General features: G+C 39.8%; 1 protein-coding gene across 3 annotated transcripts in view, besides 1 other annotated feature; it reads left to right on the top strand.

The window, feature by feature from the left end:
• Window positions 8,785-9,309: an enhancer, noted in NCBI's record as "OCT4 hESC enhancer chr10:91318626-91319150 (GRCh37/hg19 assembly coordinates)". NCBI's record gives its function as "activates a minimal SCP1, AML or CMV promoter by ChIP-STARR-seq in primed H9 embryonic stem cells {active_cell/tissue: H9 hESC(primed)}" and the evidence as "EXISTENCE:reporter gene assay evidence [ECO:0000049][PMID:30033119]".
• The window catches only part of SLC16A12 (solute carrier family 16 member 12), a 126,406-nt gene continuing 119,414 nt past the window's right edge, over window positions 11,474-18,465 (top strand). The window contains exons 1-2 of one of the 3 annotated variants that reach the window (XM_047425223.1): window positions 11,474-11,570; window positions 12,197-12,296. The gene's annotated coding sequence lies outside the window, so the exon portion shown is untranslated. Of the gene's footprint in view, window positions 11,655-12,189; window positions 12,297-18,465 lie in introns of all 3 variants that reach the window. The other 2 variants (XM_047425221.1, XM_047425222.1) reach the window with 2 other exon arrangements.

Below are 18,465 nucleotides of genomic sequence, written 5' to 3'. Positions count from 1 at the left end.
ACTTCTTTGTTATACTTAAATAAAGAGTCAACATGGGGCACCCAAAAATCCTTCAATGATTTTGACATTTGAGCCAATCACATCACTTGAGCCAGGATTCAGTTCTTTTAAGTCACAGCTGGCTCTTCTAATGGCTAGTTACTCATATGATCCACAGAATGAGGTATTTGTTAAGAATTTGGGGTGCATATTCTGCTTTCAGAAAGTCAACACTGTTTGGTGATTATTTATCTTTTTTTTGTTTCCTCCATGCCCCATTACTTTATTTTCAATAACTGTTGCTTTCCTGAAGATAATGATACGGGATAGGGTAGAAGACGAGATTTTTTCTCTCAAAAGTGGAAGTTGATATTTTAATTAACAAAAGGGTGGGATTACAAACAACATTCTAATCATATGACCACACCACATTTTTCTGTTTAAATCAAGTCAAGGTTATGATCGTGATTCATAACACACATTGACTAAAAAAAGTCAATTGGCATAATTAAGAAGGGGAAAGTTTTCTGTTTTTAGTAAAGAAACAAAACAGTCCTATAACTGACCTTTACATTTCATTCTACTTTAAAAAGGCTTTCTAGCCTTTTGGAAAATCTTCATACTTCTGTTACATATTGAATTTAAAACTATATGCATTAAAAAATGTGCTATTAATAAAACCTCATCTTGGCAGCTGGTTCAAATATTTTTTTAAGAATATGTAGCCATTGTAGCACTTGTAATTTAAAATAGATGGCAGGAGCACACGGTCACTGTATATTAATGAAAAAAGTAGTCTATTTGAATTTTCTTAAAATGTTGCTGATTTGAAGTTTGAGGGGACTTAAATATAATTTATCCTCTTTTGCCTGGTCCTTAGTGAAGCACACAGAAAGCTTGGAATGCTAATTCAGAATTAATGCTCCAAAGACATGTACAGCTCTTTAGGAGAGGGAGCGTAAGCTGCCAAATATCTAACCCCAGGCTGGAGGTCAGATGTTAGGATTCTGCTTCGTGACATTCTCTTCCAGCTTCCCACCCTCTTTCAGCTATTCTATCCTCTCATTGGGATGTTTATGTTATTTTCTCACTCTTTAGAGACAGTATTGGCGCATATTCCCATACTAAGACAATTCATTTTCCTCATAAAAAAAGATTAGAAGAATAGGGAAATGTTTACAGGCAATATGCATGTTGCCAGTATTTCTCTCCTCAATTTCAGCTACTAAAAACCAAAAAATGTGTGTCTTAGTGGAAACTCAATGACTCTAGGATTTAGTACAGGGCCTGGCACATAGTAGGTACTCAGTAAATCTTGAACAAATGATGTTTCCATCAGTTAGACTTTCGTTAGCTTACTTGGGTTCCCTGGTAAATTTTTTGCTCACTTATTTATTCAACCATTCATCCAATAGATATTTCTTGAGAGCCTATTAAGCACTTGCTACAATTCAAAGGGCTTGACAAATATTTTACCTGGACACATGCTTTCTATCTACAAGATTGTATTTACTACAAAAATAAACGTTGTTGAATTTTTCAAGCAGTTATTTCCATTTGGCAATCAGTAGTTTTCTCACAACACAGGATACTTATTTTGCTAATGAGACCAAGAACCATCCAGATGGCTTCCGTCAAGTGGTAAGTTAAGCCTGCTTAAATTTTTGGTCTGTGATATGGCCTTTAAAGAGCATAGAAGCCACTTGAGGGGCTTGTGAAAATGCAGATCCCTTGACCCTACCTGCAGAGATTCCAATTAATTTGTCGAGAGAGAAGCCAGGTCGTCAGTATGTTTTTTTTGTTGTTTTTTGTTTTTTTGTTTTTTAAAATCTCCTCAAGTGATTGTAATATGCAATCAGGGTTAAGAACCACTGGATTAATGGGCAGGAAAGAATGCTTAAGGTAAGTGCTCATAAAATTTTGGCATGCGTAAACATTAATTGAGAGTTTCTGGCTGCAGGGCACTGTGCAAGATGAAGAAAACTTATAAAAGGTTTTTGGAGCAGAAGGATGATGTGACCCAACCACGTTTCTTTATATTTATGTTTTGCCGATGTAAACGTTGTAAAATAACGCAATGTCCTTGAAACATATCAGTAATAAGATGTCAAAGGAGAGTTCCACTTTACTCATTCTACTCTCCATCTTCCCTGAAGTAAGCACTGCTGTCAGTGTAACAAATATGTTTCCAAATTTTTTCTATTCACTTGCGGTTATAGGTATTCATGGAAATATGTAATACTTTATAAAATGGTTATGGATACATACTTACATATTGGAAACATATAATACACATAGGATATATAATATACATAGGATTAATGCATATGAAGTTCAAGATAAGGTTATGAGAGGACAAAGGGTTAGGAGGTGAATACAAAGTGGTTTTATATGCCAAGAAATTAAGATGGGCTTAGGTATATGTGTTCTTTATGTTAATTATATTTCTTTAAATGCATGGAATTTAACACAAATCTATGCTTTTATTTTGTGTTTATATATTTTTTGAAATATTGTTTATTTAAAACGGTTTTAGATTTAGAAAAGAAATGTGAAGATAGTAGAGTTCCTTAAAAGCTGCACCAGTTCCTTCGACCATCTTACATTAGCATGGTATATTTGTTGCAATTAATGGAAAAATTTAATACATTATTATTAACTAAAGTGAATTCTTTATTCAAATTTCAGTAGGTTTTACCTAATGTCCTCTTTCTGTTCCAAAATCTCATCCAGGAAACCACAGTACATTTAATTATCGTGTCTTCTTAGACACCTCTTGGCTGTGAGAGTTTCTCAGACTTTTCTTGTTTTTGATGACTTTGACAGTTTTGAGAAGTACTGAGCAAGCATTTAGTAGAATGTCCCTCAGTTGGGATTTGTCTAATGTTTTCTCATGATTAAGTTAGACTTATGAATTTTGTGGAGGAAGACCACAGAAGTGACATTCTTGTCACTTGTCAAGGGTACAAACTATCAAGCTGACTTATCACTAATGATGTTGACCTTGTCAACCTGGCAGAGTTAGTATTTATCAAGTTTCTCCAAAGTAAAGTTTCTATTTTTTCTCCTCTTTCCATACTGTGTTCTTTGGAGGGAAGTCACTACGCACAGCTTACACTTAAGGAGTAGGGAGTTAGGCGCCGACTTGCACAATTCATTTTGAATTCTTCTGCATGGAAAGACTCCACAGATTACCCCTAGCTCTCAAAGCAACGTGGTGGGAATTCACTTGCAGGGATTTGCCTAGTGCCCTCGAGGTGGGTGCTGCCTCTCAGGCAGCCTGGTGCCTGGATCTCACTGCTAGAACAGGCATCAGAAAGATGCACACTGTTGTGTTTGTTGGGCTTGATGCCTCGGCATTTAAATTTAAGCTGAGATTCTCCACATGGTGTGTTGTTTACCATTAAGCTCCAGATCAGAAACCACTTCTCCTGGAATCTTTCCTGTGTGACCACCCTTCCTGAACCCCGTCTGTGAAGTGTTGTCATCCATCTCCAGTTGACCAGAATAATTATCTTTTATCTCCTCTGTGCCACTTACCACCTTCTACCTTCTAGTACTATTATTTAAATGTACAACTTTTCGCCATTCAGTTACATATTTTACAAACAGAAACTGATTTTTACAGCTTTGTCTTTTTTTTTGTAGTGCCTAGAACATTGCCTTAGTTAATATACGGCAGGACAAATATGGTTTATTATATGTTTTGTGTAAATATGAATATTACAAAGTAATGTGCCTATAGAATTATTGTGCTTAAAGCAAACAATTCAGTGGCATCTAGTACATTCACAATCTCGTACAACATCTAGAACATTTAAAGCATCTACTTTCAAAACTTTTTTGTCACCCAAAAGAAAACATGCCCTTTAGCATTGACTCCACATTTCCCCCTTCACACAGCCCCTGGCAAGCACCAATCTGCTTTCTGTCATGGTGGATTTATCTATTCTGGATGTTTCATGTAAATGGAATCATATGTTATGTAACTTTTTGTGTCTGGCTTCTTTTGCTTATAACAATGTTTTTAAGGTTCATCCACATTGAGCAGGTGTCAGTGTTGCCTTTCTTTTTATGTCTGAGTAATTGTTCTGTAATTTTGTCATTTATTGCAGGTATATTACATCTGCCCTGATTTTACCGCTAGATGGCATTACTTTCCTGGGAATTTCCTGGTCATTGCCCATACTGGTTAGTGAAATTAACCAAACTAAACTATGAAATTATATCAGTTCAATTTGAAAATTAAAAATTTTTAATTTTAAATTTAAATTTGAAAATTAAAAATTTAAAACTTTTAAAAATTTAAAAATTGGGCAATTTTTAAAGTTGCCCAATAAATTAGCATCTGTAGGCATTCTTTGACAGATAAAACCAAAGAGGTGGTATTCATAATGAGGTTTACAAATAATTCAAATGATGTAAATTTCTCAAAATATAAGCAATACAGATTTCTTTGCATTGTGTAGGAAGTACTGGGACCTTGAAAGCAAGATGGTGGAGACATGGGGACACCTGGATGAAATGTTATAATGCACACAAAGTTGTCAATTCAGTACCTGGCTTGCAGCACTTTTGGGCTAATTAGGTAAAGACCAGGCAGATGCAGCCCTGTAGGCTGGCAGTTTGGCAAGCTGAGTGGGGATTAGATGTGTGTCCACACACACACTCTTGGGTGGCAAACTTGCCCAATGAACAACCTGTGGAACGATTTCTGGAGGCCCTGGAGCTAGCTGTTGTCATTAAGAGACAGCATGACACAGTAGTCAAACTGTCTTCTGGATTACAAACTGATACCTAGTAACACAGTAATCTTTCTGGACCTTGGTTCCTTACTTGTGAAATGAGATAATGTTATGTTCACCTCACTGGGTCGTTACGCAAACTAAATGGTGACCGCAAGGAAAATAAATAGAACAATATATGGCAAATGTATATATTCCATAAAATATTAAGTATTATTAATATTACCCAGATAGACAAGTTCTCAATAACAGACAAGGTAAAATTGCACATTCCAACCCTTTGATGGTCTTAAGGCATAGGATTTAGGGTGGTGAGGCCTTGAAGGAAAGACCGTCCTCTGCTCAAAGCTCCCTAATAGGAATGCTGTAACCAAGTGGTCTTGCAGAGAATCATGAGTAGTTAAAACCTTTTGAGAACTGTCCAAATTTAGGGATGTGTGGAATTCTTTCTTCTAACTCTGTACTCTTATTCACTATCTTCGTTCTGATGTTAAATAAAACATTTTTGGTGATCTTATGAACTGTTAAAATGAAAATAAATCTTGGAACTCCAAAATCACTTAGCCAAAGGGAAAAGTCAAGCTGGTAACTGTGTCAGGCAAAACTGCCTCCCATTTTATTCCTAAATAAGATAGCTTCAAAGATTTTTAAAAAGCTACACACCTCCCTCACAATTGGCCCACTAGGAAATTCCTTATGGGCCCCCATTTATCCTAAAATGGTTCTGTTGAATGTTACCCTGACAATGTAAATTGATAGCTTATCTTCCCAGGTGTGAAGGCTAGAACACAAAAGCTTATCTTCACAAAGGATAGAACTGTAAGTAAGTCCTCTGCTTACCTGAGACAAATGACAAATGCATATCTGATGGCTTTCTCTGGTGTAAAAATGCAGTTTCACCGAGCTAGAAAAAGGCTTAAGTGACTATTCCTCTACCCTTCTTTCACATGTAAATTGTGTATTTGGTGAAAGGCTGATCAAAGACTCAAAATAATAAAACCATTTGTCTTTTACCTACCCATACCTTTTAAAAAATATCTTCCTCTTTCCCCTTTAAATACTGAAGCCCTCAAAATCATCTTTGGAGAAAGGCACAAACCTGCTTCCAGGGCACACGTCCTTAACCTTAGCAAAATAATCTTTCTAAATTGATTGAGACCTGTCTCCGACACTTTCTGGTTTACAGAAATAATGGGAAATGTCTATGTATCTTTGTTCTCCATCCATCCTAGCCAGCTGATTTGTTAAGATTACTAGTTTATGCTGAAGTCTGAAGTCAGATGAGGTAGTTTTCTAAATCTTTTTCTCTAAGAGGATTACTTACTTGTCCTTTCCAAATACTGAAATCCTGAAGCATACTCTCCTGCATGTCTTGAAGTTGCTGTCACCTGCACATTGTTATCACGAATATTTCTGTTCCCAGAATGGTAAGGAATACAAGCAAGCATGAGAGCTCTTGGATTGCATTCTGCAAGATTTAACTACCAGACTTCTTCATCATGAACTTAAAACACACTTAATAGATTTTTTTTAAAAGAGCATTTTAGGTCCACAGTAAAATTGAGTGCAAAGTACAAAGAGTCTTGCATATTCCTTCTCCCAAGAGCCTCCCCCACCACCAGGATTCCCCACCTGAGTAGTACATTTGTTGCAATTGATGAGCCTACACTGACACATCATTATCACCCAAAGTCCACCCACCCACATTAGAGTTCCTTCTTGGTGTTGTATGTTCTACAGGTTTGGACAAATATATAATGTATCTGTATCTGTCATGTATCTGTCATTAGAGCATCATACAGAACAGTTTCCTTGCCCTAAAAATGCCCTGTGCTTCACCTATTTATCCCTCCCTCCCCTTAAGCCCTGGCAACCACTAATCTTTTTCCTCTCTTTGTAATTTCACCTTTTCCAAAATATCATGTAGTTGGAATCACACAGTATGTAGTCTTTTCCGATTGACTTTTTTTTTTTTTTTGAGTTGGAGTCTCGCACTCTCGCCAGGCTGGAGTGCAGTGGCGCAATCTTGGCTCACTGCAACCTCTGCCTCCCGGTTTCAAGCAATTCTCTTGCCTCAGCCTCCTGAGTAGCTGGGACCACAGGCACACACCACCATGCCCAGCTAAGTTTTGTATTTTTAGTAGTGAGGGGGTTTCGCCATGTTGGTCAGGATGGTCTCAATCTCTTGACCTCATGATCCGCCCACCTGGGCCTCCCCTGATTGACTTCTTTTGCTTAGTAATGTGCATCGAGTTTCCTCCATGTCTTTTCATGACTTGACAATTTATTTATTCTTAGTGTTGAATAATATTTCATTGTCTTGATGTACCACAATTTATCCAGTCACCTATTGAAGGACATCTTGGTTGCTTCCAGGTTTGGGCAATTATGAGTAAAGTTGCTATAAACATCCATGTGCAGGATTTTGTGTGGACATAAATTTTTGATTAATTTGAGTAAATACCAGGGGGTGCAACTGCTGGATTATATGGTAAGAGTATGTTTAGTTTTGTAAGAAACTGACAAGCTATCTTCCAAAGTGGCTGTACGATTTTGCACTTTGCAATGAATGAGAGCTATTACTTCACATTTGTCAGTATTTGATGCTGTTAGAGTTTTGGATTTTAGCCATTCTAATAGGTATGTAGTGGTATCTCATTGTTTTAATATGCAATTCCCTAACAACATGTGATATCAAGCGTCTTTTCAATGCCTTATTTGCTATCTGTATATCATTTTTGGTGAAGTGTCTATTCAGATCTTCTTTTTATTTTTTAACTAGGTTCATTTTCTTGTTATAAGTTTTATTACAAACTTTTTATTTTTTTACTTTTTTAATTTTTAAAGATGGGGTCTCGCTATATTGCCCAGGCTGGCCTCAAATTCCCGGGCCAAAGTGATCATCTTTCCTCAGCCTCTCAAGTAGCTGGGACCACAGGTGTGCGCCACGACTCCCAGCTCATCATGGATTTTTTTTTTTTTAATTGTGGAGATTTTAGTAAATGTGGACAAGCACAGAAAAAAAAATTATATAACTCAGAAATAACCAAAACATTTTGTTTTATACCCTTTGGATCTATTTTCAGTGTACATGTATGTAAATATTGTTCTATGTCATGTATTAAAAAATTGGGATAGCATTCAACAATGTAGAAACCCTACAGTGGTTTATAAGTGTTTTCCCAATTAGTAATATTTGTATAGGTCCATGTCTTCTTTGCCACCATTTCACTCAGTTCTAGATGCTTCCCATATGTATTCCTTTGTTTCAAATTATGCCAAACTCTTCACTGTGGCTGAATGATTGAGTTGGCCTTCAATCATTCTTCCTTGAAAATCCATAATGAAGTCAAGCAATGTAAATACAGTGTGAAAAGTTTTCTGTAAATCTCTAACAGATTTTTATCAAATAATTTTTTTAAGTGTACCATAAGCTGTTCCTCATTTACATTTTTCTGACTTACAGCTTGGTGTAGTTTGGGATTTAGAGAGACTAAATTAAAATCCTGGGTCTAGGTGGTGACATATGCTATTTAACCTGCCCAATTTTATTTTTCTTACATTTAAAGATGGGAATAATAACATCTAATTTGTAGGGTTGTTGGAAGATAATGAATAGTAACCAACAACCGCCTAATTCAGTGCATTGCCTGGCATCTAGTGACCCTTCAGGATTGCTAGTAGGTATCATGTGCAAGTATGCTAAGGGGGTACTAAAATCTGACTTGGCGTTTTTATGAGTGATTGCCAATGCTATTTATTCATTCAGTAAACATTTCCTAATTATCTGTTGTGTCTATATAAGTATTTAAGTACTATGGATACCGAGACAGAAAGAAAAAGCTTTCTTGTCCTCAAGAGGCTTGCTGTCTGGTGGGCAAGGTAGAGAAGTAAAGCACCAGCTACAATGCAATGCAATAGACACTAGGATAGGGTTGTGCATAGGGTGACAAGGTGCTACGAGGGCATGCTTGTCTAATCAGGATGGGGGGCAGTTTTCCAGAGAAGGCCATAATTAAGCTTGACTTGAAGTATAAAAGGAGTCCGCTTAGGTAGACAGAGATGGCGTGGAAGGGTGAAGAACACAATCTATTTGGAGAACTGTAAAAGGTTCTATATGTAGGTATTACAGGAGTTATTAAGAAATTATTTTAGGCAGCTAGAGAGGGTAAAAGAGTCCTCAGTAAGTCTTTTTCGTTTAATAAAAAAGCGGTCCCCCAAATATTTATTATCTAACAGAAAGCAGCCTGAAAAACCAGACCTGCAAGTATTGATATGCAAATGCAGATGGTTAAGAGTCAGGTCCAGCCAATATGGCGGTTCCTGCTACTTTTTCTTTGTTGCCACGTGTACAGGTGTCATGGCGACCAGCCAGGTAGCCGCATTTGCATAATAAAAGGCTAGGGTGGGAGGGCCAGTTTTTTTGGGGGGGCTACCTGAATGACACACGTGGTTAAACCAATCCCCTGTGCCCTATGCTAATTAGACACCACCTCCTCCAGCCTCCCAATATAAACCACTGCTTTCCTCTGCACGCGGGTTTTCGGTTCAGAGCCCTCCTCCCTCTGTACGGGGAGCTATTCTCTCCTTTCTTGCCTATTAAACTTTCTACCCCTTAATCCACTCCACGTGTGTCCACGTCGCTAATTTTCACCACACGAGATAAAGGACACCGCAACTGAGCGGTGTAATAGGGAGTAACATTGCCTTGGGCAGCTGTAGGAGACGACCCCAAGAGATAGTTTCAGCAGACATCATTATCTGGGTTAGCTGTTGCCCTTGCTCTAATTCCACTTCTTTTTTTGAGTAGAATTTGAACTTCTGCCCTAGTTCATCTGTTCCAGTCGCATCAGCCTCCTTGTGTTTCCTCAAGTATACCAAGCACACTCCAAACTCAGGGTGCCTTCATTTTGCCCCTTTCTCCTTTTCCGTGCTTTCCCTCCAGATGACCACAGCCACACTCCCCTGCCTCCTTCAGGTTGCTGCGTGAATGCCACGACCCGGACCACACACTATTTTTTTTTTTTTTTTGAGACAGAGTCTCGCTCTGTCGCCCAGGCTGGAGTGCAGTGGCACAATCTCAGCTCACTGCAACCTCTGCCTCCAAAATTCAAGCGATTCTCCTGCCCAGCCTCCTGAGTAGCTGGGATTACAGGCGCCTGCCACCATGCCCAGCTAATTTTTGGATTTTTCGTAGAGATGAGGTTTCACCATGTTGGCCAGACTGGTTTCAAACTCCTGACCTCAAGTGATCCGCTTGCCTCAGCCTCCCAAAGTGCTGGGATTACAGGCATGAGCCACTGTGCCTGGCCGTGGACTACATTCTTTTTTTTTTTTTTTTTGAGGTGGAGTCACGCCCTGTCACCCAGGCTGGAGTGCAGTGGTATGATCTCAGCTCACTGCAACCTCCACCTCCCTAGTTCAAGCGAGTCTCCTGCCTCAGCCTCCCGAGTAGATGGGACTACAGGCATGTGCCACCACACCCAGCTAATTTTTGTATTTTTAGTAGAGATGGGGTTTCACCATGTTTTCCAGGCTGGTCTCGAACTCCTGGCCTCAGGTAATCTGCCTGCCTTGGCCTCCCGAAGCGCTGGGGTTACAGAGGTGAGCCACTGCGCCCGGCCCCGGACCACACTCTTAATCACACTGCCTTGTCCCTCTCCCAGTCCCTGCTGTGTTTCCCCATAGCACTTATCTCCAACTGACACATAGTGTATTTCACTCCTTATTTACTTGTTGTCTGTCTCTGCCATTGCATACTCTTGATGGGAACAGGGCCTAACATACAGTGGGCAACTCATATAGACTTATTTTTAAATGAGTATATCACGTCATTGCTGTTAATTTGAATTTATTATGAAACATTTTGTTGAATGATAGTTCTATTCATATTTAACTTCTATCTTTTTGTTGCTGTTGTAAGAGCTAAAAACATTCAGAGTTCATACCTAACCTTCTTATACATGCTTAAGCAGCAAGCATTATGATCAAAATAATTTAAGTTGACCGTAGGAGGTGATGATAGCGAAATCTAAAATAAATTCTTTATTTTTTATTCACACATTCCTCATATTTAAGAAACACTGCTATAGTATTGTAGGTTGTTATTTTTGGGAAAACCCACCTCAGCCTTTTTTTCTATTCTCTCACTCACAACATCATCACAGAAGACGTCTGTGACCAAATATGTGTGAGTTTCTTCCCACACACCAAGAAGCAATCATTTCTGCAGTGGACATCAGCTGGGTATCTTCCAATTCAGTTCTGACAGTATCCACCTGGAGATAACATCAGATCCCACAGATTGAGGGCTCAATCCCCAAGACCATCCCCTCCTCCCACCAGTTGAAAGTTCCAGCCTCCAGAACTTCTGACCAATCAGCTTCAAGTTGGGGTTTCTATGAAACCTCTCGTTGAGTTAAGTTAATTTGCTAGAGTGGCTCACAAAATGCAGGAAAAGACTTACTTACATTTGCAGGTTTAGTATAAAGGATATGAAGGATTCAGATGAAGAGATGCATAAGGCAAGGTATGGGAGAAGAGAGGCAGCCTTGATAAACCACCAGTCAGGAACTTCTATTTGTTCAGCTCCCTGGAAGCTCTCCAAACCCTGTCCTCTTGGGTCTTTATGGAGACCTCATTGGATAGGCATGACTGAAAATGGACAACCTGTTAAAATGCGATTGGACAAAGGGTATGATCTAATACTAACAGACTGAGTGGGGTAACCCAGCAGGGACTGTCTGTTCAGATTCTTCTTGGTCTCTCTGTGCACCATGCCTTCCTCCATGGTATGGGGCAGGAACCCTTCTGAAATGGAGGTGTTCTGACCTATGATCAGACAAGGTAGGTCAGAAACCAGCTCCAGAAACCAGGAAAAAGTTCCTGCCTTGGGGAGAGAAAGAAATAGGTGAAAGGAGGGCAGAAAAGGTAAGAGAGAAAAAAAGAAATTCTGTTTTCTGAGGCCTGCTTCTGAAGCCTAAAGCACCCTAACATTGTAACAAGGGCTATGGGAGTCATGAGCTAGGAACCGTGGATAACCTAGATAGACAAACAGACAGAGAGATAGAGAGATAGATTGATAGATAGAGATAGAGATATGTATAATAATATTGCAGTCGTTTTCTTCCCCCCTTTTTGTTTCAGTTAGTAAAGTGGTCAGGAGTGGTTGAGTCACACAGTTCCCTCACCTACTAGCTGTGTGATCTTCTGCAAATTATTTATCAATGGAGTACCCACCCATAGCTTTTGAGAGCATGAATTGAAAGCGAGGAAGCATAAAAAGTGCTTAGCACAGTGCCTGGGTAGAAAGCTGTCAATACATTGATCTATGTGATGCTGACCATCTTGGGAGGCCAGAGATAAAGCTGAATAATTTTCAAAGCACTAAATTTTTTCCTCCAAGTTACTGCAGCTTGAAATTCTGTGTTTGATAATTTAACTGATGGCTGTTTTATCTCCTGAGATTGCAGGAGCCCTGCCTGTTTTGCTCGTTGTTGCCTCACTAGCCCATACCAGAGTGCAGGGTGCGCTGTAAGCCGTGACCGCATCACAGATCATCAGCATGCAGAGGTAATGTAAGTTCCAATAGTAAACACAAGGGAGTAGTGTTCTCCCACCTGTCCTCACACTGGTTCAATTCAGAAACTTGATTTTTCTGGAAGTGCATTATTTAAATGTAGTCTTAGGAAAGCAGGCTCAGTCTTACTCTTTCTTCTTCCCTACTGCATGGAATATATATATATATATATATATGTATATATGTGTGTATATACGTATATATGTGTATATATACATATCTGTATATATATGTATATATGTGTATATATACATATCTGTATATATATGTATATATGTGTATATATACATATATACATATACATATACGTATATGTATATATACGTATATACATACATACGTATATATACACATATATACATATATATACGTATATACGTATATATACGTATATATACACATATATATATTATCCTTTCTGTAGAAATAAACATGAAACCCAAAAGCCTAACTGTGTTTGTACCCAGCACGTGTTAATAGAAAGTTTAAACAACAAAACATTTAAACCAATGCAATTTAAGCTCATTATCCCTGTCTATTGGGTAACATAAGACAAAATTATATTGTAGGTAACTGTGCCTGCGTGCCTGTAGTGCCTGCTACTCAACAGGTTGAGTAGCAGGAGGATTGCTTGAGCCCAAGAATTTGAGTTCAGCCTCAGCAATATAGCAAGATCCACTATCTTGAAAAAAAAAAGAAGATATTGTGTCCTCTTAAATACTAATTTGCTTTGTTAATCACGATGGGCCCTTTCCAAAGGTAATTGCTAATCCTGAAGACTTCATTCTACAAATATTTACTGGATGCTTTCTAGGTGCTAGGGGCTTATCTGGGTGCTAGAAATTTAAGTGAGGAAGACAGACAAGGGTTAGGTATGGACAACCAGTGTTTCTACTGGGGGATATTCTGCCAGGACAGGGGTAGGAAAATACCTGCTTGCGGAGCCTCAACACCCTTGGAATATTATCTTAGAAATGTTTAGCTTTATGAAGATGAAAGGGGACTTAGACATTATCTAGTGGAAATTCAGATGGCTAGAGGGCTAGAGGGGCCAGATAGCTAACATAAATAAGTAAAGTAGGCCAGCTGGGGCCTGCTGTTGAGCAAAGAGCAGGTATCCAATGTAAAGGTTGCTCCCATCTCATCAGCTCAGGCTACAGTTTTCTTCTTTCTCTCTCTCTAACAACCAAAAGTAAGACCGTTTCCCCACAACACACACATACATATGTCATCTAAAAGTCAACAAACAGAAAGAGCAGCTCTGGGAAAGGTGGATTCAGAGGTGGCAAAGCAAACACTTTGTCCTCCATCTCCCCACAACCTCAAATATTTTAAAAAACAAACCTGTTCAACCCAAATTGTGATAAATATTAAACAACACAAGATAATAACATGATCAACAACTAAAGTGATGATGTAGATGAGGTCTCCTGTCCTGTTTCCTCAAAAGGTTTTCTCGGCCATTAAAAGAGCTTCCCTCTCTAGATCTGGTTCCTTTAAATCTCCTGGTAGATTTCACCAGAAGCAGGGTCTTCAGGTGCTATCAGAAGGGAATTGAGGTGGGTTAGTTATGCCTTCCTGGCTTCTCATTTGTGAATGTGAGAAGAATGTGCAACTGAGGCAGGCACTCTCTGAGGCCAGATTTTTCTAGGGAAGTCAGGTGTTGATTTTTCAAGAGAAGCCAGAAATCTGGAGTTTTTTGAGAACTTTCCCATTTTCTTTCTTTCTTTCCTTCCTTCCTTCCTTCCTTCCTTCCTTCCTTCCTTCCTTCCTTCTTTCTTTCTTTCTTTCTTTCTTTCTTTCTTTCTTTCTTTCTTTCTTTCTTTCTTTCTTTCTTTCTTCCTTTCTCTCTTTCTTTCTCTCTTTCTTTCTTTCTTTTTGAGATGGAGTCTCGCTCTGTTGCCCAGGCTGGAGTGCAGTGGCATGATCTTGACTCACTGCAACTTCTGCCTCCCGGGTTCAAGCTATTCTCTGCCTCAGCCTCCCAAGTAGCTGCGATTACAGGCACCTGCCACCACGCCTGGCTAATTGTTTTGTATTTTTAGTAGAGACAGGGTTTCACTGTGTTGGCCAGGCTGGTCTTGAACTCCTGACCTCCTGGTCCACCCAAAGTGCTGAGATTACAGGCGTGAGCCACCGCACCTGGCCAATTTGTGATAATTTTCAAAGTGCTGTGAGGGCCAATCCAAGCTGATCTGAGAATTAAATTTGTCCCATTGTTGAGCAGTTCACTCCCTAACCTAATGCAATCGCCTAATTTTACAGATAAGGTAATGACTCAGAGCAGCTAACAACTTGTCCAATATTGTCACAAAGTCTGCATTCTTTTCATTGAGTCATCAAGTAGCTACAAAATGTGGAGAAAATGCCTGCGAACTATTAAGACAACTACTGTCAACTTTAAACAATTTAGTATTGAAATGAGTCATGCTAGTTGGCAATATTTGTGCTGAGATGATTTAATAGCCTGTGATTTATATGAACAAAGAGTGTAGTACCTAATGTGCAAAATGTTGATTGTCAGAGAGGGGCTAATGAGAAGACAAAAAATGTACCACTCTGACTGTAATGGATTACAAGATGGTGCTATCAAAGGTGAATAAGTAACTATAAACACAACAGTCTACTGGAAAACAGCTGCAGGGTAACACCACAAGAAATTCTGAGCAAGTCAGACATTCTGTTATTTCCCAAATCTAATAAAAGATATGCATACGGATTTTACTATTAAATTAAGAAAAAATGATTCAATATCACAGAAAACATAATAGGCATGCGGGTGTGGTGAAGGAGTAGAGACGGGGTTTCACCCTATTGGCCAGGCTGGTCTCAAACTCCTGACCTTGTGATCCACCCACCTCAGCCTCCCAAAGTGGACAGAGGGACGGAGGTACATTCAAGAGAATTCAGCTGGGGCTTCAAATTCTGAGTCCAATGCATTTCAATGGTCATTTTTTGGAACTTGGGAATAAAAACATTTTGGTAGCATTTAAGAAAGTACCATTTCTTTGATTGTTCATTACACGTGGCTAATTCCGGTGTAAAACTGACACTCCGAGAGGAAAGCCAAGTGCGGATGTCACCATCTGGTTTTGCTAAGTCTTAGTTCGCATCTCACTTACTCTCTCCAGATTCTGTTAGGGCAGGGCCGATTATCCATTTTGTTCATTATCATACTCCCAACTTACTTCCTGGCACTCAGAAGGCTCTCAATAACTGTTTAGTTGAGTTGAATTGGCTTAGCTGGAATTGAAGAGCCAGAAGCAATTGGAAGGGACCTTAGAGCTAATTCTCATCATCCACAATCACTCACACCCCTCCTAGTACCATACGTTTCCCCCTCTCACACGTCCACCTCAATTCATGGAGAAATGCAATGTGCTGTTGTGCCATAGTCAGCAAGCAGCCAAATCTAATTCAGTGCTACCACCCTAGATTCTCTCCAGATGATGCCTAACTCCAAAATAGATTGTCATAATGTTCTTGGCCAGAAGCCTATAATTTTTAAATGAGATTACATGGGATTTATTTAAGCTTTAATATAACTATAATAAGTATTAATAACACATGCTTTATAATCTGTTTTCTGTTTCTTGTGATATCTTTGTACTTACAAATCAACATTAATACATCTCTCTTTGGCCAGGCGTGAGTGGCTCACGCCTGTAATCCCAGGACTTTGGGAGGCCAAGGTGGGAAGATCAAAAGGTCAGGAGTTCAAGACCAGCCCGGCCAATATGGTGAAACCCTGTCTCTACTAAAAATACAAAAATTAGCCAGGTGTAGTGGCACGCACCTGTAGTCCTAGCTACTCAGGAGGCTGAGGCAGGAGAATCACTTGAACCTGGGAAGTGGAGGTTGCAGTGAGCTGAGATCACACCACTGCGCTCCAGCCTGGACGACAGGGCGAGACTCTGTCTCAAAAAATTAAAAATAAATAAATAAATAGATCTCTCTTCAAAAGGGCAAAACAACCTTTTAGCTTTTGTATTAGTTTGTTTTCATGCTGCTGATAAAGACATACCTGAGACTGAGAAGAAAAAGAAGTTTAATTGGACTTACAGTTCCACATGGCTGAGGATGCCTCAGAATCATGGCAGAAGGCAAAAGGCACTTCTTACATGGTGGTGGCCAGAGAAAATGAAGAAGATGCAAAAGCAGAAACCCCTGATAAAACCATCAGATCTCTTAAGACTTATTCACTACTATGAGAACATTATGGGGGAAAACACCCCCATGATTCAAATGATCTTCCACTGGGTCCTCCCACAACACATGGGAATTATGGGAGTACAATTCAAGATGAGATTTGGGTGGGGACACAGAGCCAAACTATATCAGCTTTATGGAAGTTTCCCAACAACAATGTGCTCCATCAGCACTGGGTTGGAAGAACAATGAACTTGGGACTTTTTATTTATTTATTTATTTAGAGACAGGGTCTCACTCTATTGCCCAGGCTGGAGTGCAGTAGTGTGATCTCAGCTCACTGCAACCTCCCCCTCCCAAGTTCAAGCAATTCTCATGCCTCAGCCTCCCAAGTAGCTGGGACTACAAACATGCACCATCCTACCTAGCTAATTTTTAGTATTTTTAGTAAAGATAGGGTTTCACCATGTTGGCCAGGCTGGTCTCGAACTCCTGACCTCAAGTGATCTGCCTTCCTTGGCCTCCCAAATTGTTAGGATTACAAGCGTGAGCCACCACGCCAGGCTGAACTTGGGGATTTTTGATCACCGGTCACCAGTATAACTCTGGAACAGAGTTTAATTCCAGAATACACACCCTCACTCCATCCAAAATGGACCTTTCTAACTTGATTACATCATGGACTTCCACACCTTGAAAACTTTGGATCCTTTTATTCATTCCTCCAATAATTGAATTCCTAATATATGCCAGGTAACTTACAAGGTGCTGGAGATACAATGGTAAACATGATGGACATCTTCTTGGTTTCACTAAGCTTTTAGTTTAGTGACACACAAAATCAATGCAAACAGCAACAACAACAACAAAATGCAATTAACATTAGACCCCTGGGGGAGGTGACATTTAAGCTGAGAACTTTGCGAAAATAGTGAAGAGCTTTCTAGGCAGGAGGAAAGGCAAGCACAAAGCCTTCTGCATCCCTGGCTTGGTGCCCAGAGAAAAGCCAACATAGCTAAGTATAGCGAGATATGGGAGTGTGGCACGAGATGATGTAGAGAAAGGCGGGGGTGGGGCCATGACACATTATGGGCCATGGTCAGAGGAGTTTAGATTTTGTTTTAGTGCTTTGGGAACTACTGAAAAGTTTTAAGCTGCAAAGCAATATGGTCTAATTTTGATGTTGTTGTTGTTGTTTGTTTGTTTTGAGACGGAGTCTTGCTGTATAGCCCAGGCTGGAGTGCAGTGGCGCGATCTCAGCTCACTGCAACCTCCGCCTCCCGGATTCAAGTGATTCTCCTGTCTCAGCCTCCCAAGTAGCTGGGATTACAGGCACCTGCCACCACACCCGTCTAATTTTTGTATTTTTAGTAGAGACGGGGTTTCACCATGTTGGCCAGGCTGGTCACGAACACCTGACCTCTTGATCCTCCTGCCTCGGCCCCGCAAAGTGCTGAGATTACAGGTGTGAGCCACCGTGCTAATTTAAGTTTTAAGAAAAACATTCTTGATGTTTTATGGAGAATAGATGGGAAGAGGCTAAGAGCAGAGGGAAGGAGATCAGTTAGGAGACTTGCACTAGTGGGAGAGAGGAGATGGCAAGATGGATCAGGATGTTGTCACAGTGCAGATGGAAAAAAAGGGGTGGATATTGATGAGACAATTGACAGGACTTGTTGATGGATTGATATGGGAGGTAAGTGATGACTCCTAGATTTTTGGCTTGACGAATGGAATGAATGAAAGTCCAATATAATAAAACCATAAAGTAGAGTTCTCTGCTTAAAGAGGGAGAAAGGAAAGAGGGAAGGCTGGGTCTGAGGCACTTTACTCCCTTCCAGCTACCCTGGGTCTTCCTAGACTTCTTAGGTCATGGCTCTCAAATTTTAGGATGCTGAGCCACTTGCAAAGCTTGTTACAATGCTGGCTGCTGAATATAATGTTCCTGGAGCAGAGCATGTGGGGCAGATGTAGACCAGAATGGCTAATAAAGGTGTGTCTGGTGACTAAAGA

This window comes from Homo sapiens, chromosome 10, assembly GCF_000001405.40.
Source record: "Homo sapiens chromosome 10, GRCh38.p14 Primary Assembly".
Lineage (NCBI taxonomy): Eukaryota > Metazoa > Chordata > Mammalia > Primates > Hominidae > Homo > Homo sapiens.
This window is presented reverse-complemented; position numbering and strand designations above follow the sequence as displayed.